Source organism: Homo sapiens, chromosome 4, assembly GCF_000001405.40.
Source record: "Homo sapiens chromosome 4, GRCh38.p14 Primary Assembly".
Lineage (NCBI taxonomy): Eukaryota > Metazoa > Chordata > Mammalia > Primates > Hominidae > Homo > Homo sapiens.
The window spans coordinates 6,496,722-6,521,760 of NC_000004.12; the positions used below are offsets into that span (position 1 = coordinate 6,496,722).

Below are 25,039 nucleotides of genomic sequence, written 5' to 3' on the forward strand. Positions count from 1 at the left end.
GTGGTGGTGCATGCCTGTAATCCCAGCTACTTGGGAGGCTGAGGCATGAGAATCACTTGAGCCCGGAAGGTGGAGGTTGCAGTGAGCCGAGATTGCGCCACTGCACTCCAGCCTGGGCAACAAGAGCAAAACTCCATCTCAAAATAAATAAATAAATAAATAAATAAATAAATAAATAAAGTCTGTGATGGACACAGGGAGTGTGACGATGCCATACGTATGGACGGGGGTGGGAGGGCCATAGTAAATAGCAGGGCAGGTATAAGAGCGTGATCCATAGACTGTGCCAAACAACAACTGCCCTCTCTTCCTGAGGGATGGAGAAGTTCCATAGGCCTTTAAGGGGACAATGCTTGATCTGAGTCCACACCTGAGCAGCAGTCATTCAGGGAAAAGAGGGAGGAGGCACCCCAACTGAGGAAACAGCACCATGAGCACCGGCAGGACACCCAGCAGCAGGGTGTGATCATGGGTGCAAGAGGAAGAGTGGCCAGCTACTTATTTTCAGAAGAGAAATAGATGGAGGTGGCAGGGAAGTGGGGAAAACGTGCCCTACCAGATAGCAAGGTTGTCACAATACTTAAGGCCGTGTGATATTGGTGCAAGGACAGACAAACAGGCCCACAGAACAAAATGGAATCCACACTGTGCATATCAGGAAATGGCAGAGTACAGAGAGGATGTTCCAGACCAGTGGGAACAGGTAAACCATTTACTCGGTGGTGCTGGGAGATTGTTTTCCTTTTGGAAAAGAAAAAAAAATTAAAATCCCTACCTCAAACCCTAGACAAAAATAAATACTAAGTAAACTAAAGATTTAACCATGAAAAGCAAAACTGAAAAACTTGTGCAAGACATTATAGAAAACTTGTTATTATAACCCTGGGCTAGGATAAGACTTCTTCAGCAAGCCCAAAGTACAAACCATCAACAGAGCATTGCCTTCTGCTACATTAAAATCATCATAAAGCGAAAAGACAAGCTACATGCAGGGAGAATGCATTTGCCACAGCTAAAATGAACAATGATTAACAGAGAAAGTACACAAGGCCCTTCAAGATGGCAACAAGAAGTCAAAGGACCCAAAAAGAGGGTTTGCACAAATCAGGGAACAGTGTTTTCTAGAAGAGGTCATGAGAAGTGCCTTAAAACATATGAAAGGCTCTGCAGGGAAATGGAAATTAAAATCACATGAGAGACCATTAGCAGTCACCAGATTGGCAAAATCTAAAAGCCTGCGAATGTGGAGAGCTGGCGAGGACTTACAGCATCCATACGCTGTTGGCTTTGGTGCCAGTACATACAGTAAAGCTGACGTGCACACCCAAACCCCAGCAATTTCTCTCCAGTAAACACCCTAGTGAAACTCTTAGAGTCCAAATCTTGGGAGACACGATCGTGCAAATAAGGGAACAGGGCACAGCCATAGAAATTAGCACATCACCCTACACACATCGACAAGGAATACGAAATGAAGGAAGCCAGGTTCCTGAAGAACACACACAGCATGTTCCATTATATAAAAATCCAAAATCTTTGCGCAGCTCAACACTAGATGGTTTAAGCCTATATCTTTGTGATGCAACTTAAAACCAGGCAATGGTGGAATTAATATTAGGACAGTGGTTACTTTCATGGGCAGGGAGAAACTCAGAGAATAGTAGGCTCAATGCTAAGCACGGATCCACAGATGCTGCAATTTATTACCATGCTCCACAACCTACACAAATGATGATACAGTCTGTTGTATGTATCAAATATTTCATAATTTTAAATGCATAAAAATAGAAATTTAAAGTATCAAGGATTAAAAAAATAGCAATGGGGTGGAGATAATTCATTGGGTGTGCCGTGAATACTAATGAGGGTCAGCAGTTTGGAAAGGGGACCATGGGAGGTGACACCCTGCAGTGCGAGCTCCAAGGTGGAGGAGCTGGTGTCTATGCACGGTGACGTTGGGGAGCAACAGTTCACTCACCCAGACGGCAAACCCACCCACTGAGCCCAGTGAGCTCCCGGGCTGTGCTAGGGCCTGCACGGGGACATGAGTGACTCAAACAGTCATCAATGGGGAAAAGGACTCTTCTCAAGCCTTGAACATTGCCATGTTTCTTGATGGGGCTGGTATTGAAATGGGGGTCCCTGAATCTACACCTCTGATCTTTTTGGTGACAGAAAAGGCAGCTAGACAGTATCATATTCTTCTCCCTCTCCCCTCTCTCTCCTCTCTCCCCGTCCCTCTCCCTCTCCCTCTGGAACTTCATCTAACTTGGGAGACATACCCAAGTTAGACAGCTCAGGGCAAAGCGGACCACACAGCCAGTCTGGCAGGCAAAAGTGGCCAGGACGTGGTGCCCAAGGCAGATTGGGAGGGGAAAAGCAAACCAGGCGGCTACTCCTGCTTTCAGGTGCCCTCACTAGGCTGGGGACCTCAGGAGCTGGGACTCCTTCATCCATTCAGTGCTTGGGTGTGTTGAGTGACTAAACAAAAAACCCAACTATGAGCAGCCCAGGGGAAGGACTGACTCACCCATCTCCAGTCCTCCCAGGTGTCTGGCTCAGGAAATATTGAGGGAATCAGATAGGCATGAAGTACATTCTGGAGCACTGTGGAGCGCAACCCTGCCCCCTTCAGCCTCACCCCACCCCATCCTTCTCTCCCTTCGGCTGCATGAGTCCTCTCGCAGTGCCTCCGACAGGCCACACACAGTCCTACCTCTGGACCTTCACACCTGCCTAGGCAGGGTACTTCCTTCAAGACCAGACGCTTGGCACCCTCATTGGAAAGGGATTTTCAATGTGATGTTTTCCTCCCACATTCTTGTCCTTCCCTCCAATGTTGGCCAAAGTGTGCTGACGAAAATGCATCAAGGGCTCAGTTCTGCCTAATGGGTCATCTAGGGTTTTATAAAGCAGGAGGAGATGATTTTTTTTGTCTTTTCAAACTTGCTGCGGAGTGGTCATTTCTGTATATAAAAATTTGTAATATTTAAGGTATATTTATCTTACTGTTCTGAATAAACAGAATGGACCATTGAACCATAAAAAAAAAAAAAACAACTCCTACCCCAGACACCTGCTGGGCTCCCTCCTTACTTCATTCAGCTGCCTGCGCCCAAGGTCCCTTTCTCCACTGACCACCCAATGCAAGGGTATGCCCCTCCCCACCAAGCCACTCTCCTTCCTCCTTCCAGGCTTCCTTCCCCTTTCTTCTTCCAAGTTTTTACACCACCAGTGATTAGACACAGGAATTATTTGTTGATCCATGTATTTCTGCCTGCTCCCACTAGTTGTGAGCTTCAGGAGGAGGAAACTTCTGGCTTTTTTCACCACTGTGTCCCCAGGCTAGAAATGTTTGTTCCTAACAACACCAGGTCCTTAATCAACATGAAATGAATTAAGATTGCAGTGGCAGAAGGTATTTTATTTATTTATTTATTTTTGAGACAGAGTCTCACTCTTGTTGCCCAGGCTGGAGTGTAATGGCGTGATCTCGGCTCACTGCAACCTCCACCTCCCGAGTTCAAGCGATTCTCTTGTCTCAGCCTTCCGAGTAGCTGGGATTATAGGCGCACACCACCATACCCAGATGATCTTTGTATTTTTAGTAGAGATGGGGTTTCACCACGTTGGCCAGGCTGGTCTCGAACTCCTGACCTCAGATGATCTGCCTGCCTTGGCCTCCTAAAGTGCTGGGATTACAGGCGTGAGCCATTGCACCCGGCCAGCAGAAGGTATTCTAGAAGGGTGAAGATGAGAAGACAGGAGTCACCCTAACCCTATTTGATCTCATCCACTCCAAGCTGTCGGCCTTGGACCTACCATCATTTGGAAGGGGCCCATCACAGGGGACCCCCACCTTGGCCAGAGTCATCCCAGGAGGGACCCAGGACATTGCCAAAGAACCTGCTTTCATGGTTGTGTGTGACCAGGAAGGAAAGAGGGGGGTTCATTTGAGCCAAGTCCTGGGGTGCATCCGGGGCCCTGGACCCCAAATGACAAATAGCCCAAGGGCCTTGCATGGTACATACCCTGTAGGTGCCCCAGGATTAACGGTTCAAACACCCTGAAGCTGGGGACAAATTGCTCTAATCTGAGGAATTATCTAAAACCCTGCAGGGCCCTGAGGGAGCTGGGTGTTCATGATAATAAAAGCTGACACGGGAAGAGTGGCCACATTAACCACAGGGCTGCGAAGCCGTCGCACGGCACACATCCACACAGGAGAGGCAGGGAGCAGGAAGCCTCTCTGGGCAAGACGGCAGAATGCCTGCCTGCTGCCACACAGCCAGGCAAGCTGCCCAAACAGATCCCGCAACTCTGGGGGAAGAGAGAATCATTGTGATCCAAGGCTTTTTTAAGTTGGAATAATTAACTATAAATTATTCAGTGATCTGGGATGCTGTTTTGTGACAAATGTAAGCCCAAACTCTGCATTTGCTCTGTGCCTAGGATGCTGTTTTCCGATTGCTGCACATCTAACCCAGCTGCTGCCATAAAATGTAATTGGCAGACACTGGAAACAGATGAGGCAATCACCCATCAGGCCTGGGAACCACTCTGATAGTGGGACCTGATGGGCTGGCACAGGGTGCACCCTGTGAACAGACAAGCCTCATCTGCATCAGGGATGGAGCAGATACCAAGAATACAGGAATGGGGGCTGAAATCACACCCCCTCTCAATCCAGAAAATGCTGACGGAGACCCTCCGAGTTTCCCAGCCCAGTTCTCAAGATTGACTGGGATGGGTCAGCTGGGGGACCATGCCCCTTCGGAAATCCCCCAGGGAGGAGAATCTCATGGGCACTTAGAGGTTGATGCACATTAGCACCATTAATCCTTGTAACACTTTCATTCATTCATTCATTCATTCATTCATTCAGTGGGTTGACACTGGGCTAGCATCTAGAGAAGGAAGCAATGGGGGAAAGGAGGTCCTTGTCCCATGAGGAAGGCATGCGTGTTGGCCCATTTTACAGACGAAGAAGCCATGGCTTAGGGTGGCCTGGCCTTCCAGATACTCACTCTCTACCTGGCCCTGCTGGCCCTCAGTCTGCTCTCTCAACCACGAGGACCTCAGCCTCCAGAGGACAGATGGAGCACCTGGTCCAAACAATGGCCTATGACAGGTCCCATAAGGAGAGAGACCCAGTATCTTTGTCTTTTTGGTCCCAGAGCTCAGCAGAAAGCCCAGCACATAGCAGGTGCTTAGAAAGCATTTGCTGAACAAATAAATGAAGAATTGGAGATGGAAGAGGATTTGGTCTGGAAAAAAGATGCCCAGGGGCATGTCTCTGTCCTCAGGTGTCTAAAGGGCCACCAAACAGCACTAGGAACCAGCCTGTTCCACGCGATCTGGAGCAGGATAGGGAGTGGGTTTCTAGGGGATGAGGACGAATGGATGCAATGTGTTTCTTTTCCATGTAAGAATAAGCATATCTGTGATCAGAGCCCCTCAGGGTGGGGTAAATGAGTCCCACCTTCGGGAGCTATGCTTCTTGGTCACTGGGGACCGTCAAGCCAAGCCACAACTGAGCCTAACTTGAAGTCCACAGGGGCTTTCCATATGCCGGGGAAATCCTCTGGGACTTCACCTTAAAAGAAACAAGCGAATCTCCCCTCTGGTCTGTGATGTACGGTGCAGCTGTGTGGACTGAACAAGCAAACACAGGCAGGGTGTCTGAAGGATGGTGACTGTGGTGTGGCCTCAGCCCCGGGTGAGTCCCTCCCCTGCCCTCCTTCCCTTCTTCCTGCCCTCCCTCTGTCCCTCCCTTTTTCCCTCTCTCCCTCTCTCCCTCCCTCCTTCCCTGCTTCCTTCCTTCCTTCCTTTTTCCTTCCTTTTATTCCATAACATTTATTGAGTTCCCACACATGCCACACCCAACCTGTGCTAGGTCCTGGCATTTCTTCTAGGGGGCTAGAAAGACAATTAGTCAATCAATCAATCAGTTCCAGATACCCTGGAAAAGACCAGGCAGGGTAATAGGATAGAGGGACTTTGCACACTTCCTGACCCCCTCCTTCCAATGAGGGTCTATTTTCATTTTATCCGAGCAATACCCAACATTTGCACTATTCTAATTTTCAGGCCTCCAGTCACTGGAGCCGAAAAACCTTGGAGATGTCCTGGATGCCTCTTTCTCTCACACCCACATCTAATGCCCTGGCTCTGCCTTCAAACAGTATCCCAGACCCGGCCGCTATTGCCACCTGCACCCCTCCCCTCTGCTATACTGCTGTCACCCTGGGCTGCACATTCCAGAAGCGTCTTCACTGGCTCCCACTTCTCAGCCCTTCCTCACTGCTGTCTGTTCTCAACACCTGTCCAGAGCAACTCTCCTTAAACTAATGTCCAAATCTTCCAATCCATGCCACTGCTGCAGACTTTAACAGCTTCCTGTCCACTGCAGCAAACCCAGATTCCACACAGTGGCCCAGGGACCCCAGGTCATCCACCCATGGCCTGCCCCAGCACTCCTCGGACCTCATGACCTCCTCCCTTCCTCAGCCCACCCCACTCCAGCCACACCTCAGGGCCTTTGCAGCCACTGTTCCCTCTGCCTAAAATGTTGTTGCTCAGATATGCACACATTCACTCAGCCACCACCCTGGAGTCCCTTGATATTCCTTCTTAGCAAAGCCTCCCCTGCCCAGCCAGTTTTCAGTAGAAGCCCATTGCCCAGTTGCCTCCCCTCCCATCACTTTTCTTGGCCTTCTTTTTCTCCCTGACACTCAGCATCTGCTAGCATAGTATAGGTGACACCAATGGGACCTGTTTCTATTTACTGTATGTGTTTTGTTCATGACAGTATTCCCTGTGAACGGTAGCCCTTGTATCCCCTATTTACAGGCTCATGGGAGACCCCATAAATAACCAATTTGACAGTTTTGTGTGAAGTCCCAGACACTGACCCAAGAGAAAAAAACTTATGTCCATACAGACTTATGCATAATGTTTATGGCAACTTCATTCCTAACAGACAAAAACCTGTAAGCAAACCTAAACATCCATCAGCAAAAGAATGGACAAGTACACTGCATAGACATAACAGTGGAATACTACTTGGCAATTAAAAAAAAAAAAACAAAAACTGAGAATTCTGCTTCTAGCAATGCTAAGAAATGCAAAGTAGGTCCTATCAGACCAACCCTCCCACAAATAACAACCATGAACTCTGGACAAAATATAAAAAGTAACCACCTAAGGCACCTAAGGGCAATCAAAAGCAGGTGGGTACTGGAGGGGCCAACTCATGTAAGAAGGGAAAAGCACCAAATGTTTCATGCTTTGTGGCAGTTGGCCTGAGAGCAGTCCTCCTCCTGCACCATTCAGAGAGCTACAACTGTGATAGAAATCTCCCATCTTAGTGGCCTTAAGAAGTAGCTGACAGCATGTGGGGCAATCTTGGCTACTGGAATCTGGCAGGGAATGAGGAGGAAGAAAGATGAGGAGCACCAAGTCCCATGTATGAAGTCAACCCAGATCTCTGTCTTCTCAGGACAGATGTCAAACAGTCCACCAAAGGCTAAAAGAATTAAATGGAGGATTTAGCTGCTACCTTCTGCAAGGGGGACATTTTACAGTCTGAGTACAGCCAACTTAACTGCCTATAACAAAAAAACAATACTCTTGGGAGTAACATAATAGAACCCAGAGTGTCTACAATGTACTGCTCAAAAATTCAGGGTACAAATCAAAATTAATTGATGTAAGAATAAATAAAACCCAAAAGAAAAAAAAAATCAACTGAGATGGACCCCAAATGCTGGAATTGGCAGACAATCATTTTAAAGCAGCTATTTGTACTATGCTTAAGAATGTAAAGGAAAATAAAATCATAATGAATTTAAAAATAAGTAGTCTCAGCAAAGAAATAGAAACTACTAAATAATAAATTAAATGGAAAATCTAGAACTGAAAAATACACTACCTGAAATTTTAAAAATTCACTGGATATACTAAAAAGCAGATAACAAATTCCAGAAGAGTCAGTGAAAGTGAAGGGAGATCGACAGAATTTTTACTCTATCTGAAAAACAGAGGAGGGAAGTTAAAATAATAACCCAGCCTCAGGAACCTGTGGGCCAAACACCAAACAGTCTCCCATGAGTGTGACTGTTGTCAAAGAAGGTGACAAAAGAACGAGGCACAAAAGTATAACAATGGCTGAAAATGACCCCAATTTTTGTGAAACACATACATTTCCAGATCCAAGAAGTTCAGCGAATCTCAAGCAGGGAAAAAAACACAAAGAAAACCACATAAAGGCACGTCATAGTTAAACTACTAAAAACCAAGTATAAAGAAAAACTCTGGAAAGAAGCCGGAGAAAAATGACACATTACAAACAAAAGAACAATGACTTGATCCACTACTGACTTCTCATCAGAAACTATGGAGGCCAGAAGGCGGTGGGATGACATCTTTAAAGTGCTTGGAAAAAAAAAAGCCTGTCAATCCAGAATATTATATTCAGTGAAAATATCCTTCAATTATGAAGATGAAGTAAAGACATTTTCAGATTTAAAAAAACTAAAGGGATTCATTGCCAGCACACTTGCACTACAAAGAATGCCAAAGGAAGTTCTTCAGAATGGAAACACAGATTTTCAGGAAGCAATGAAGAACACTGGAAATGGTAAACATGTGGGTAAACATAAAAGACCATTCAATACATATAATTATTTAAAGCAAAAATCATTACATTGTATTGTGAGGTTTATAGTATATATCAATATAATCCATTCGATAGCCATAGCAAAAGGATGAAGGAGGAAGTACAGGTACCTATTGTTATGCTTTATGTAAAGTGGTGGAAAATTAATAAACTTTTCATAGTAATGAAAAGTTAAGGATGTATAGTATAATCCCAGAGCAACCATTAAAAACATAATGCAGAGATAGAGATTTAAAAGCTCATAGATAAATTAAAATGCAATTTTTATAAATCCAAGAATAAGGCCAGCTGTGGTGGCTCACGCCTGTCATCCCACCACTTTGGGAGGCCAAGGTGGGTGGATCACTTGAGGTCAGGAGTTCAAGACCAGCCTGGCCAACATGGTGAAACCTTGTCTCTACTAAAAATACAAAAATTAGCTGGGCGTGGTGGTACACGCTTGTAATCCCAGCTACTCAGGAGGCTGAGGCATGAGAATTGCTTGAACCCAGGAGGTGGAGGTTTTAGTGAGCTGAGATCATGCTACTGCAATCCAGCCTGGGTGACAGAGTGAGACTCCCTCTCAAAAACATTTTTTTTAATTAAAAAAATAAAAAATAAAATCCAAGAATGAAATACTGCTTACTGCAACAATGTGGATGAATTTCATAGGCATGCTGGGCAAAAGAAGCCAAACACAAGAGTACACACCACATGATCCTACTCACATGACCTTCTAAAATAATGTGTTGGCTCTTCAGCAAGCAGAAATAATTGGCTCTTCAGGTGTGGTGCTGGGAAGATAATGGACAACTGATTGAAAGAGGAGCAAGGGATTTTTTTCTGAGGTGATAAAAACTTCCAATATCTATTTTGTGTAATGGTTACATGTTTGTCAAAACTCATCAAATTGAACACGTAAGATCTGTACACTTTACGGAACATAGCTACCTCAATTAAAAATTATTAAATCATGTAAGTTTACGTGGGTCTCTGTATTATGATTTTGGCATTTAGACAGAAAACAAACGTCACGTGGAACACAGCTATGCCAACATTCCACAACAGATCTTATTCACATGGAAACAGGACACAGCCACAAAACTAAACCAACTCTGAGGTCACAAGAGGCCTCTCTGAGAAGTGACTTCAAAGAGCAATCAATGAGAAGGGCTCAGTCATGAAAATATCCAGGGAAAGAACTTTCAGGACACAGGAGATAGGAAAGCAAAGATTCTGAGTAGGTGTTCCAGTTACCTACTGTTGTGTAACAAACAGCCCCTTAAAACAATTCATTACCATCTGCTATAGTGGTTGGGCAGACTGACTGGGCTTAGCTGAGCTGTTCCTTCTTGGTGTTCCTCATGAAGTTGCAGACAGCAGTGGGGGCTGCACTCATCTGAAGGCCCAACTGGGCTGGATGTCCAAGATGGCTCTTTCACATGTCTGGTGGTCGATGCTGGCCATCAGCTGGGAGTTCACTTGGGGCTGTCAACATATGGCCTCCCATGTGGGTTGCCATTCTCACACCATGACTGCTGGTTCCCCCAGGATGAGCATCTTAAGAGCAAACTCAAAAGACCCAGATCACCAGATCACCGGATGGAAGCTCCATGGCTTCTTATGATGCAGCCTCAGACATCCTAGGAGGAGGATCAAGGATGACTCCTAGGTGTCGGGCCTGCAGAACTAAGATAGGAAAGACCAGCCAGGACAGTGGGAATGCCAGTGAGGAAGAGGGCTGAAGAGAAAATTCCAAAGTTCCATCTCAGTCATGTTAAGTTTGCAATGCCTGGTGTAGACATCTAACAGAATGTCAAGCTGCAGCTGGGAACAAAAGCACAGGTGCTCAAGGATGAGGCCTGAGCCTCAGTTTCCCCAGCTATAAACTAAAAGGTTTGGCCTGGGTGATCTCGGAAGACCTTCCTGCCTCTGACTACATGCAACATTGGGAACATCAAGGCCTTGGGCAAATGTACTGATGCTGCAGCAACGTCGCAGGAAAGCCTTGAGCAATAGGAAGAGATGGAAGTTACTGTGTGACTTAACAGTCCGTGCAGTTTCCACTCTTGCCCTCTGGCAGCCCTGGGCTACCCTGTAAAGAAGGTGGGCTACCCTACTAGACTCTCTATGTGTGGAGTGAGAGGCCGAGCCAGCCTCCAGCTGTTCTAACCAGCTCAGCTGAGGCACCTTGGATGACCCAGGCCCAGGTGAGCTTCCAGATGACTGCTAAAAGTCACTAAGTAGCCTCAGGTGAGACCAGCAGAAGAACCACTAGCTAAGCCTGGCCCAGATCACAAACTCTTGAGCAAATCAATGGTTGTTTTAAGCCACTGAATTTTGGGGTGGTTTGTTATACAGCAATAGCTAACTAATACACTACATAAGATTCAATTGCCCACTCCTCATGTCTTCACTAAACCAGTCTCCTTCAAGATCAGCTCTGACCCTCTGGGTAAATCATGTTTCTTCCTTAGAATTTAATTTCCTCATCTATGAAATGGGAGGGTTGAACATGATTGCTGAAATACCTTTCAGCTCTGAAAATCCTTAGACGACAAATCAAATTTAGGATGAGCTGTAGAGCAAAAAACAATGATGTAGCATTTGATGCTGAGCACAGTGACACATGCCCGTGGTCTCAGGTACTCAGGAGGATCGCTGGAGCCCAGGAGTTTCAGGCCAGCCTAGGCTACATAGTAAGACCCCAGTCTCTAAAAATAAAAATAAACAACTACATAGTATTGTTAGAGTAGGTAGTTAGGCAGAACTGAGCAGGGCAGGAGAGCCTGCCCCAAATGAGGAATGTCAGGTGACCATCAGGTGATGGTCAGGCGGTTATTAAACGGTCTCTCTAAAATAATAATTGGTTACAGCTGGCATCAGGGAAAGGCAGTCTCCCAATAGAAACAGCTGAAGCTGGGGGCCAGGTGCGGTGGCTCACGCCTGTAATCCCAGCACTTTGGGAGGCCGAGGTGGGCGAATCACGAGGTCAGGAGTTTGAGACCAGACTGGCCAACATGGTGAAACCCTGTCTCTACTAAAAATACAAAAAAAAATTAGCTGGGCATAGTGGCGGGTGCCTGTAATCCCAGCTACTCGGGAGGCTGAGGCAAGAGAATTGCTTGAACCCGGGAGACAGAGCTTGCAGTGAGCCAAGATCGTGCCACTGCACTCCAGCCCTGGCGACGGAGTGAGACTCCATCTCAAAAAAAAGAAAAAGAAAAAGAAAAAAGAAACACCTGAAGGTGATGACCAGCAGCTTCCTGACAGGATCTGAGTTGGGCGAGTGGGCTCAAACATGCACACTAAGAGGCAAAATGATGGAGTTTAACTGGAGTATGACCTTCTAGGAAAACTCCACTGGTAAGGGAAAAACGACTCAATGAGCACACGCACAACTTCAGTAAACACATTAAGACGCAGCCCCTCCCAAGTGCTGGCAGGCCACTGCGCATATGGACAGCCCACCCCAAAAAACAAATCAAGGGAAGAGAGGCACAAAATCCCAGAAGCATGCCAACGTATAAAACCCCAAGTCATAGGTCAAACAGCACACTTGGCCCTCTTCCTGCTCTAAAACTTTTTAATAAACTTTCACTCCAGCTCTAAAACTTGCCTCAGTCTCTCACTCTGCCTTTTGCCCCTCAGACGAATCCTTTCCTCTTAGGAGGTGAGCACTGAGTTGCTGCAGACCCACACGGATTTGCCACTGCTAACAGTATTTGATTCTTAAGGATAATCAGATCATTGTTTGAACCGCAGTGTTTAAAACAGCTTGAACTTCTCAGACAGCAAACTGTACATGAAGCTGGATTTTCCCATGGTTGGGAAAGAACAATAGCAAAGCTGAAACACTCCAGCTTGAAAACAAAGGAGGAAATCTGAAAGCCTTGCCTGGCAGCCCTTCTTGAGAAGTGGTATCTTCATCTCAGTCTGCATCTCAGCACTTCCCATAACCCTCCACCCACAGAGCCAGTGCAACATGTCAAAGATTTATTAGCTAAAACACAAGAGATATTCAGGGGGAAAAAAAGTCGAAATGTTATTCAGAAATCAATAACTGCAATGAAAAAAATCAATTGAGCCTCTGGCAAAAAAAAAATAAATAAATAAGTGAGGAGGTAAACCTTTACACCAGGGGAAATGGTGTGTTTAATAAATCTGCCCAGAAATCCAACCAAACTAATCTACCCTTACCACGATCTCATTTAAGTGGCTGTGTCTGCCTCTAGTCCAACGAAGCCACCCTTTCAGAGAGCTCAACCCTGCCCTTGTGCCCATTCACAAAGCTGTGAGCTATGCCACCCTGAACTCACTTATCCGTTCAACAAACACTCATGGAATGCCTGTGAGTCACGCTCCATACCTTCTAGCTGGGTGGCTTTCACTCTCCGTGCCTTAGTTCCCTCCTTAGGTTTCCATGGTGATCACAATGGCACCCACCTTCCTGGGCTGTCACAAGGCCGACTCCACGCAATGCACATGAGCAGTAAGTGCACTTGGTGGGGGCTGTCACCAGGGTCCTGGGCCCTCCCTTTCCTGCACCCTCCACGTGTAACTGATTTGTTATTCTTGTCTATGTCATTTCCACAAGTGTCCCAGGTGCTTCTAACGTCCTCTCATTCCACAGCCACCACCATAGTCAGGCCAGCCACATCTCTCACCTGCAACTTCAGACTGGTCTCCCCATCTCCATTCCTGCCCCACTCAATCCATTCTCCACTCAGCAGAACAAATGGCCTTACAAAACCTACACAGGATCATGCCACCCACCTGCTTCAAATCCCTCCCATCTTACATGGAGTAAGCCCAAACTCCAACCTGCATGGCCTGGCCCCCTTTCACCACCTCCCACCACCCCCACCCCTGCTCAGGACCCTGAAGATTCACTAGCCTCTTTCTGTCCCTGGAGCAAGGCTGACCAGCTGGGCACTTACCATCCCTTTCCCTGAAACTCCATCCCCAGATCTCACCCTTGTTCTCTGGTCTTGGTTCAAATGACACCTACTCTGATCTTCCCTGGACATCCAGCCTCAAATGGCCTTTCTCCATCATCACCTTCTATCCATCACCCTGTTTTAACTTCTTCATGGTGCTTATATGTACCCGAAATTGTTTCTGTTCATTTATTCTTCACTATCTGTGTCCCTGCCCCGCCCCACATGCATGTGCATGCACACACAAACAGGCACACACATGCACATACACACGCACGCACACACGCACACCAGAATGTCTTCTCAGCCCAACAACGCCCAGCCCCTGGAAATGTGCCTGATACGGAGGAGGCCCTCTTAGAAAATGTTTGTTGAGGCCGGGCACGGTGTCTCACGCCTGTAATCCCAGCACTTTGGGAGGCCGAGGTGGGCGGACCCCGAGGTCAGGAGATAGAGACCATCCTGGCTAACACAGTGAAACAATGTCCCCACTAAAAATCCAAAAAATTAGCCAGGCATGGTGGCAGGCACCTGTATTCCCAGCTACTCAGGAGGCTGAGGTAGGAGAATTGCTGGAACCCGGGAGGCAAAGGTTGCAGTGAGCCAAGATCACACCACTGCACTCCAGCCTCGGCAACAGAGTGAGACTCCGTCTCAAACAAAAAAAAACAAACAAACAAAAAAAAAAACAGAAAATGTTTGTTGAATGAATGAATAAGAGGAACTTTATTTGATTTCTGTCTCCAACACTCACTAGCTGTCCCTGAATTTGTCCTTCTCTTAATTTCTTCATCTGTAACATGGAGATAATAATCGCCCATTGCATGCGGTTTAGTGAGTGTTACATGAGAAAAACACGCAAAATGCTTAGAACGATGCCTGGCATGGCGTGAGTGCTCAGTACATGTTAGTCGTTCCGCTGGTGATGCTGATGCTGATGCTGATGCTGATGCTGATGCTGATGCTGATGCTGATGGTGGTGGTGATGGTATTGATGGTGGTGATGATAGTGACAGTATTGATAACTACAGTGATGGTAATGGTGGTGGTGGCGGTGATGGTGGTGATGGTGATGGTGGTGATGGTGGTGGTGACAGTGATGGTGGTGATGGTGGTGGTGACGGTGGTGGTGGTGATGATGACGGTGGTGGTGGTGATGGCGGTGTTGGTGGTGATGGCGGTGATGGTGGTGGTGGTGGTGGTGATGGTGGTGGTGGTGGTGGTGATGGTGGTGGTGGTGGTGGTGGTGGTGATGGCGGTGGTGGTGGTGGTGGTGATGGGGGTGGTGGTGGTGGTGATGGTGGTGGTGGTGGTGGTGTTGATGGTGGTGGTGATGGTGGTGGTGATGGTGGTGATGGTGGTGGAGGTGATGGTGGTGATGGTGGTGGAGGTGATGGTGGTGATGGTGGTGGAGGTGATGGTGGTGATGGCAATGGTGGTGGTGATGGTGATGGTGGTAATGGTGGTGGTGATGGTGATGGTGGTGTTGGTGGTGGTGATGGTGGTGGTGGTGGTGATGGTGGTGGTGGTGGTGGTGGTGGTGATGGTGGTGGTGGTGGTGGTGGTGGTGGTGATGGTGGTGGTGGTGGTGGTGATGGTGGTGGTGATGGTGGTGTTGGTGTTGGTGGTGGTGGTGGTGGTGGTGATGGTGGTGGTGGTGGTGGTGATGGTGGTGGTGGTGGTGATGGTGGTGGTTGTGGTGGCGGTGATTATGGTGGTAGTGGTGGTGATGGTGATGGTGGTGATGGTGGTGATGGTGCTGATGGTGGTGGTGGTGGTGGTGGTGGTGGTGATGGTGGGGGTGGTGGTGGTGGTGATTATGGTGGTAGTGGTGATGGTGATGGTGGTGATGGTGCTGATGGTGGTGGTGGTGGTGGTGATGGTGGTGGTGATGGTGGTGTTGGTGGTGGTGATGGTGGGGGTGGTGGTGGTGATGGTGGTGGTGGTGATGGTGGGGGTGGTGGTGATGGTGGCGGTGGTGGTGGTGGTGGTGATTATGGTGGTAGTGGTGGTGATGGTGATGGTGGTGATGGTGCTGATGGTGGTGGTGGTGGTGGTGGTGGTGGTGATGGTGGTGGTGGTGATGGTGGTGGTGGTGATGGTGGGGGTGGTGGTGATGGTGGCGGTGGTGGTGGTGGTGGTGATTATGGTGGTAGTGGTGGTGATGGTGATGGTGGTGGTGGTGGTGATGTTGGTGGTGGTGGTGGTGATGGTGATGGTGGTGATGGTGGTGATGGTGGTGGTGGTGGTGATGGTGATGGTGGTGATGGTGATGGTGGTGGTGGTGATTATGGTGGTAGTGGTGGTGATGGTGATGGTGGTGATGGTGCTGATGGTGGTGGTGGTGGTGGTGGTGGTGATACTGGTGGTGGTGATGATGGTGAGAGTGTTGATAATTACAATGATGCCAATGGTGGCAGTGAGGATAAGACCTCACCTGGGCCAGGGTCTGCACAATGATATAATGTACATAACAGTGTCCAGGGTGGCACTTGACACTTTTATGATAAGGGCCCAATAGCTGTAGGTTTCAGTTCAATTCAGTTCAAAAGCAAATGGTTCATCTTATGATAAAACCCAGTGAAATCAGACCCAATAAAACCACACATTTAAAATGCTGATTTAACAGCATTAGCTGGTCCACATATCAGGATAAAAAAAAATACTTCACTGCACTTTGTTGCATCTTGGGGAATTTTATTTAACAATACAATTAATTTTGCTCTAAGTATATGGGCTTTTTAAAGACTTGCTGCAGCCAGGATAATTTGATTATATCATAAAGCTAGAAAATTTACCAAAGGACAACACGTAATTTATACATTCACTCACTCACTCATCCATTCATTCACAAGCATTTAATAAGCATCTACCCAGTAAATATGTTTAATCTTGAAAACTTAAGATATTAATGAATAAATTACAGCCCTACAGGCTTTGGTTTTCCATCCAGTTTAACAAATAGGCCCTGGAATACGATGGAGTCAGTCCAAAGAGTGGGCACAGAGATGCTGTTTTCTTTTCAAGGAGCAGTGGTGCTGGTGCATGGAGAGGAAGCCATGGTCTCTGGGCAGAGGCAGAGAGACAGTGTGTGTCTGGGGAGCCCCAGAGAAGGGTCCTCCCAGGGGTGGAACAGGGGGTGAAGAGTGAGCCACAGAAAGGCTTCCCAGGAAACAAGAGGCTTGCCAGTCACTGCGAGGGAGGGGCCATGCCAACCAGCCTGAGAAGCCAGCAATTGCCATGCACAGACCCTATTTGTGCAGCTCCCTGATGAGCTGGAGGAGTCTCAAGTAGGTAGGGTGAGTATGAAAGGGACAGGTCAGGTATGAGGGTGAACAAGCCTGGACCAGTTCATTAAGGGCATCTGTGCCCAACCAGGGAGCTTCAGCTGTGCTCCCCCATCAGCAGTGCAGACCCATGAAAAGGGCGTGCACTGGGCCACACCCCAGAAGGGGTGGTGGGCAGGCCAGGGAAGGGCCCCCAGAGGCCCCCATCTCCTCCCCACTTGGCTCAGTTTTCTCCAGTGGGGAGCACCCACTCTGAAGACACCACCCACTCTCTCCTTGAATGAATCACCTCCGGTTCAGAATAACTTAAGGAAATATTTTGCAAATCTCTGGTGGAAATAAATTAAATCAACACTAATTCTGAGGCATGCTAAAAATGTTCAAATACAGATGGGGTGTATAATTGGGCCTCATATATTTAGGAAGCTGAAGAATACAAAAGCAGAACCATGTTCATGTGCACCGAATTCATTTTATGTAAGGAAAAAATAATTTACCGTCCTTTGACTTTTTTTTTCAGAAGGTACAAAACCTGGTATAATTTAGCTATTCTTTTCCTATGTATCTAAATAGCAGGTGACAATGTTGTGCAACCAATCTTTTCAATTTTGTGAACCTATGAGATTAACAGAAATTTCATTTCATTTACTAAATGAACCAAGTGGAGGAGTTGGTATTCTCTTTGGTTCAATTCAAGTAGCATTTATTGAGGACCAGGTAAGACGAGGTACTGCCCAGGTATTTGTACATCTATCCCCCTTTAACCCTCACAGGTCTCAAGGCAATTTTGTTATGGCCACTTTGATAGAAGAGGTGATTGGTGATCAAAGATGTGACCTGGCTGGCTCAAGGTCTCAGCATTGATAAGGAGTGGAGCTGAGTATTTGTCCCCCAGTGGCTGGCCCCAGGGCCCTTGGTTTTTGTAGGACTCACCTCCCACAGGCTCTGAACTCAAAAAGAGATTGTTCCAATGGTCTGAACTATTATGCTGGGGAGGTTCAGACACCGGGTTCTGGAATATGCCCAAAGAATGTGGGATAGAAATTAGTGCAGGACAAGCACAGGTCAGCTCTGCAATGCCTGGGGTGGATATTCATTTCCTAGGGCTGCCATGAAAACATCACAACCTGGGTGGCCCCAAACAACGGAATCATATTCTCTCCCAGTTCTGGAGTCTAGAAATCTGAAAACATAGTGTCAGCAGGGCCATGCCTTCTCTGAAGGCTCCAGAAGAGGGTCTGCTCCACGCCTAGCTCAGCTTCAGGTGTTGCCTGCAAGCCTGGGCACTCCTTGGCTTGTAGCTGCATCACTACAATCTCTGTCTCTATCACCATGTGGCCTTCTCCTGGTATGACTGTGTCTCTTCTAAGGATGCCAGTCACTGGATCAGGGCCCACCCTAATCTAGTAGGTCCTGCTTCATCTTCACCTGATTACATCTGCAAAGACCCAACTTCCACATGAGGCCACATTCACAGGCATCAGGGGTGAGGACCCCAACATATCTTTTGAGGGGACACAATTCCACCCACAACAGGATGCTAATACAGGTGGCGGCTGGTCACTTTAAAGGTAGAATCAAATCAGCTCTTAATGGTTAAATCTTAACCAGTCAACTGGAGGCTCTGGCAAACTGGGGAAGAGAGCAAAATACTTCTCTTGTTTGACAACCGAACACTCTCATAGAACCAGAACCTTCTTGGCACAGCTGGGAAGAGCATTCAACAAGTACTGGATGGTGAGCATTTCCCAAGCACCTACTCTGTGCCAGGCCAAAGGCTGGGAGGCAGCATTGCAGGGCTAACCAGCAAGAGCCTGGAAGTTAACACTGATGGGGTTTGGATCTCAACTCAGCTGTTTATGTGACCCTGGGCAAGAGACTCATCTCTTTGTGTCCTGGTTTTCTCATGCACAAAAAGAGAACCACAGAGTACTCACCTCAAAGAGCTGTCATGCAGACTAAATGAGTGAGTACTTCTAACGTGCTTACAAGAATGCCTTGCATATAAACACACGAGAAATTTTAACTATCATCTAATCCCTTTGCCTATTGCCTGGTATGTAGTAAGCACTCAATAAATATCATTCATTCAGCAAGCATTTATCAAGCTCCAACTGCATGCCAGCACTAAGTTAGGTGCTTGTATTTGTTTGCTAGCACTGCCATAATAAAGTACTGTAAAGCTGTCCTGGAAACCAGAAGTCCAAGATCGAGGTGTCCGGCAGAGCCACCAGGGATCCAGGGGAGGATTCTTCCTCACCTCTCCCAGCTTCCGGCATTGCCAGCAATGGTTGGTGCTCCTTGGCCTGTAGCTGCAGCATCCAATCTCTGCCTCTGTCCTCACAAGGAGTTCTCCTGTGTGTGTCATTGTGTCTCCTCTCCTCTTATTATAAGGACATCAGTCATGTTGGGTTAAGGACCCATCCTGCTCCAGTATGACCTGATCTCAACTAACTACATCTGCAAATACTTTATTTCCAAATATGGTCGCATTCTGAGAAACTGAATTAGGACTTCAACAAGTATTTGGTGGTGGGTGAGGGGAGTGATGCAATTCAACTCCTATCCACATGCGTGATGTTTTTCTGGCAGGCGTCCTTAGGACCCACCACAGTGTGGTCCTGACTGCCCATCGTCCTCCACACATCCCCAGAACCCTGCCCTGGGGGCTCCAGGACCATCCTGGGAGAGTTTCTTGGCATTGCAGCCTGAAAAGAGGATGATGACAAGGACTGTGTGCACAGCAAATTCCTGCCCGTTGCCTCGTCTTACCCGCAGTGCTGCTTTGCAAGGTGAGGACCACCACTCCTCTGTGCAGCTGAGCAAGCTGCACCTCAGAGAGGGCCTGGCTAGCCTTTAACTCCCCATCCGCAGGGCCTGATAGGATGCCCAGCTCCTGGACCAGGCCATCCGTCCATCTGTCCACCCTGCCCCAGGTGTGGGCAGTACTGCCGGGCCCATGACTCCTCCTCCCAGGCCCTGTGAGCGTGTGCTGCCTGTCGTGGCTTCTATAAAATTCTGGAGGAATTAGAACAGCATGGACCCTGCAGCGAGTTTTTCATTTAAAAGAAAATATTCCATTTGCTAGCCTGCACTTTACTTTTCTACATGCTTTGGCGTTAACACATTTCATATCTGACAAGAGAGTGATCATAAGGGATCCTGTTTTTAGTCCTCACCTGGCAATATAAACAGTTGGCGCAATGCAGTCCCCTTGAGTGTCTGTGGGAGATGTCACTGGTTCATGAAACCCCGCCCCAGCTGACCCCAAGCTCCCTCCCACTGCGAAATCACTCAGCAGTCTTGGCGAGTGGCATGTAGGCAGGGCACTGCCTCACTGTCCCAGAAGCTCAGGAACTGGGGACACGTCAGGAGGATATTTATAGACAAGGCAGAGTTTTCTTTAAAAAGCCCTGCTGCAGTGGGTTCCTCCCACGCCCACACTCCCAGGAATAACTGTGAGTGGCTTTCCCCTTCACCAGCCCCAGGCGGGAGGGAGACCCTGATGCCAATATGTGGCCTCCTTCCCAGCAAGCCCACCAGATTGCTCGCCTGGCAGAAGGTAGACAGGGGTCTCTGAGTGAGGGACAGGACTGATCTTCCCCTGTGATGCTGACTCCCCAGAACCACACCTTGCCCGGCACCTGCCCTGTGTGAAAGGCACCATGCTGGGCACACAACTGAATCTCAACCCAACAGCTCACCCTGGAGTCAGCCTATCTGGGTCCAAAACCTGGCTGGACAACTCAGTAGCTAGGAGAGCCCAGGCATGTTACCTAGCCTATCTGAGCCTCACTCTCTTCTCTGTGAAGTGGCAATGATAAGAGGGACTACTTCCCAGAAGCCACATGAAGATCTCAGTGACAGTGGAAATTGGCATGTGCAAAGTACTCCCTACACGTCAGGTGCTGCTGTTATTATCCATCTCTAATACATATTTTCCCCATTTTGCAAATGAAGAAACTGAGGTTCTAAGAGGTGAGAGGGCCCGGCCTGCACAACTAGGAAAAAAAAGACAGAAGAAATTACCCTGCGGCTCTTTGGGATGTCTTCCTACAGAAATGCATCCCCTCCCCTGATGCACCTCTTCCTTTCATTTATCATTTCAACAGTCCATCATGCTGAGCCTGGAGGCCCACCTTGGAGCCCAGTGTGGGAAGAAGGGGAAATACTGGGGTCTGGAAGCCAGGTAGACAGGGGTTCCAATACCAGTTCCCCTACCTACAAACTCTCCAGGTCCATATTACCTGGGAAGTTGGTACTTTGCCCCCTGCTCTACAGATGATAAAACTGAGGCTCAGCTAATGACTTGTGCACAGTCCCAGGTGAGGCCAGAAAATCTGTCTCCAGGCAGAAGGGAGTCTGTCATGCAAAGCGGAAAAAGAAGCAAAAACCCCACCTGACAGTATCAGAATGGAGAGGATTGAAACAACACACTTCTATATAACACATGACTCAAAGAAGTCTCAAGAGAAATTCAAAAGTATTTTGAACTAATTAAAAATGAAAACACAACTTATCAAAATTTATGAGAGGCAGCAAAAGCTGTGCTTAGAGGGAAATTTATAACATTGAATGTACATATTAGAAAAGAAGAAAGATCTAAAATCAAGCACCTAAGCTTCCACTTCAGGAAACTAGGAAAAGAAGAGCAAATTAAATCCACAGTAAACACAAGAAAATAATAAAAATTAGAGCATAAATAAATAAAATTGAAAACAAGAAATCAACAGAGAAAATTAATGAAATCAAAAACTGGTTCTTTGAAAAGATCGATAAAATTAATAAGCCTCCAGCCAGGCTAACAAGGAAAAAGGAGAAGGACACAACTGTTAATACTAGAAATGCAAGAGGATACATCACTACAGATGCCATGGACATTCAAAGGATAATCAAGTAACACTGTGAACAACTCTATGCCCACAAATTTAATAACCTAGATGAAATGCCAATTCCTTAAATGATACAATCTGCCAAAACTCACACAATAAGAAATAGACTATCTAAATAGGCCTATATCTATTAAAGAAATGGCCCAGGTGTGGTGGCTCAGGCCTGTAATCCCAGCACTTTGGGAGGCCAAGGCAAGTGGCTCATCAGAGGTCAGGAGTTTGAGACCAGCCTGGCCAATGTGGTGAAACCCCATCTCTACTAAAAATACAAAAATTACCCAGGCATAGTGGCACACGCCTGTAGTCCCAACTACCCAAGAGGCTGAGGCAGGAGAATTGTTTGAACCCGAGAGGTGGAGGTTGCAGTGAGACAAGATCACACCATTGCACTCCAGCCTGGGCAACAGAGCAAGACTCTGTCTTAAAAAAAAAAAAAAAAAAAAAAAAAAAAAAAGAATAGAAAAGAAAAGAGAAAAAGAAATGGAACCAACAATTTAATAACCTTCCCAAACAGAAAGTACCAGGCCCAGATGGGTTCACTGGTGAATTCTAACAAATATTTAAGGAAGAAATTATAGCAATTCTCCACCATCTCTTTCAGAAGACAGAATGGAGAGGATAGTGAGCAGACTCCTGAGAGGGGAGCATTCTGCCACCATCCACCCTTCTGACTCCCCTAGAATACCAGCTGTGTTGGGCCCCCAGCTATGTTGGGAGACCAAGTTTCTAGGAGCCTTAGGTTACAGGGCTTGCCTAGTGCTGGAGTCATATGAGAGCCCCCACGGCACCTAGGAAAGAAGGGAACTGTGGTAGGAAGAGATAAATCACAGTGCAAGCCAAAATAGTCCCTGTGGTATGAGGAGGGAGAACAGAGCCAGGCCCCATGCTTTTGAGAGCCACAGAGAAAGCTAAAACCCTAAAAGTCCACCCAGGCCCCACGGGACAGGCCCATGCCTAGCTCCCCAGCCCCAGCTCCCGTCATGCAGCCTCCCTCTCCTCTGCAGCCACACAGGCCTCTGGGCCATGCTGCCTCCTGCCACAGGGCCTTTGCATCTGCTGTTCCCTTGCCCATTTGATAATTCTGTGCCTCCACTACTCAGTGGTGAGGCATGTACATTCAGCCCCATTCTGTCCGCACCTATTCACAAACAGGCACTTAATGATATTCATTAAATGAATGAATAAATAAGCAAGTTGGGTAACAGAGGAGCTAACAGGGAGAGGGTGGGAGATCCTGCCCTCTTCCAGGCAATACTGATATGCATGCTGTGTGCCAGCAACCAAGCCCCTCAAACACCAGTGTGGGAGAGCAAGAAGGACCTGAAAGTGATCCACAGAGACACAAAACTGCAGAAAAGGAAGGAGGAGACAGAGTGGCCTGAGATGAGGGTGTGGGCTTGCAGTCAGGTAACCAGAAGTCCTGGCTTGCTCATATATATCTCACCACCTGGGGTGAGCTGCTTTGCCCCTGCAATTCTGCCTGGTTATTTGAAATGAGGGCATGATACCCTCAGAGGGGACAGAAGAGTGACAGGACGGGCTGGGTGTTATTCCCCAGGGAGCCCCCAAGGCGCTTTAACAGGCAGAGAGGGACAGGATCAGATTCATAGGTTAGACCAATGGCTCTGGCTACAGGGGGTGAGTGGATGAAGGGGTACGCTGGGGAGTTGAGAGGGGTCCTAAGAACCTCAAGAATGACAATGGTGCCTGCCCCAGGGTGGGAGATGTGCAGAGGAGGAGGGAGGCACGGAGTGGACACTCAGCAAGCGGGGCTCCGGCCCGGGCTGGGCTCACAGCAGTCCTCTGTCAACAGCCAACATTACCGCAGGGGGTAGCATGGTCTATACCCAAAAAAAGGGCAACTCTGTCCCCGAGCAGCTCACTGTCCCACATCCTTCTGGACAAGATCTCTCAGGCACTGCCCTGAGCAGAGTGGATTCCATCCCAGGCCAGCAGCAGCCCTGTCAATACTGTCAGGGTGACAAATGACCCACGTCACACACAGGCGAGGGGCTGCCTGAAACAGAGCATGACAGGGCCATCCCCAGGGCACAAAGCACAGCCCAAAACCAATAAAAACTGGCAGCCCTGTGTGATTCAAGTCCAAGGGGTGTATGGCATGAGCTTCGCAGCTCCACACTCCCCAACAGCAGCCTTCCTCACCTCCACTTTGGAGACAGGATGCCATGCAGGGGCTGAGAGGGACAGGAGAGCACTGAGCTTGGAGCCTGGGAGCTGTGGTGTGGCTGTCATTTATGCAAGGCCCACCACGTGCCCAGGTATGCCTGCAGTCTTCCCTGCATCGGGTCACAGATTCTTCCCAGCAACTCTCAAGGCTGGAGTTATCAGCCATGTTTCACACAGAGAAACTGAAGTGCAGGAGGCAAAGTGCCCAGGGCTGGGAAGTGGCCGAATGGAGACTGATTTCTGTATTCTTTGTCCATTGTTCTTGTTAATTATCACCATGACCTCTGGGGCTTACATACCTCCTTATCCTGATAGGACAGAATGCAGATGAGGAGCAAATTCAATTCCCTCAATTAGCAGAGTCTGAAATGCACAAGGCTTGGAAAGTAAGGTTCGAAAAGGCTAAGTAACCAGCCTGAGGCCACACAGCATCGGTGGCCACAGCGTCTGTCTGACTCCAAGCCGGGTGCCCACCACTGCATGTTGTCTGAAGGAAGAGGATGCCTCCAATGTGCAAATACAGCACCCAGTTCCAGCCCTGTGCCCTAGGCAAACCTGCTGGTGAGGGCTTTTGGGGCTTTATCCTGCCACTTGTATGTTGTGTTCAGCTGGTCGTAAACCACTGCTCACATGAGCTACCATCAATTAGACACGCACTCTTTACCAACTGCCTCCAGGATCTTCTCATTCACCAGGGCTCCCCTCTCCCATGATCTAGCCAGAAAGCGGGGACTTCAATGTATCATTCAGGTGGGTTAGAAGCTTCTGCCATTCATTGAGCCCCCTCAAGGCCCTAACAAGGGACACCCCACACAGTGGCTTCCTCCCAGTGCTCCAGAGAGGAGCCCACCCATTCAGTGTGGCTTCATCTCCCTGCGTATGCACTTCTTAGGAGTCGTCTCAGGAGCCCTAACCCACGTCCCACCCCTCCAGGGCCCTCCTCTCCTCCCTCGAGGTGATGTGAGTTCATACGTAGGAGGCACTTACACAGGAGCTGGTACCGCTTCCCCTGGACTGGCCACCGGTCCCCTTTCCAGGGGGCCACTCTCCCTTGCCACACACTGCATCTGCAGA

The 25,039-nt window shown here is 47.9% G+C and overlaps 1 protein-coding gene across 4 annotated transcripts in view; it reads right to left on the bottom strand.

Annotated features, from left to right (window-relative positions):
* Positions 1-25,039, bottom strand: part of PPP2R2C (protein phosphatase 2 regulatory subunit Bgamma) — a 243,219-nt gene that overhangs the window by 176,141 nt on the left and 42,039 nt on the right. The gene's annotated exons all lie outside the window — the stretch shown is intronic.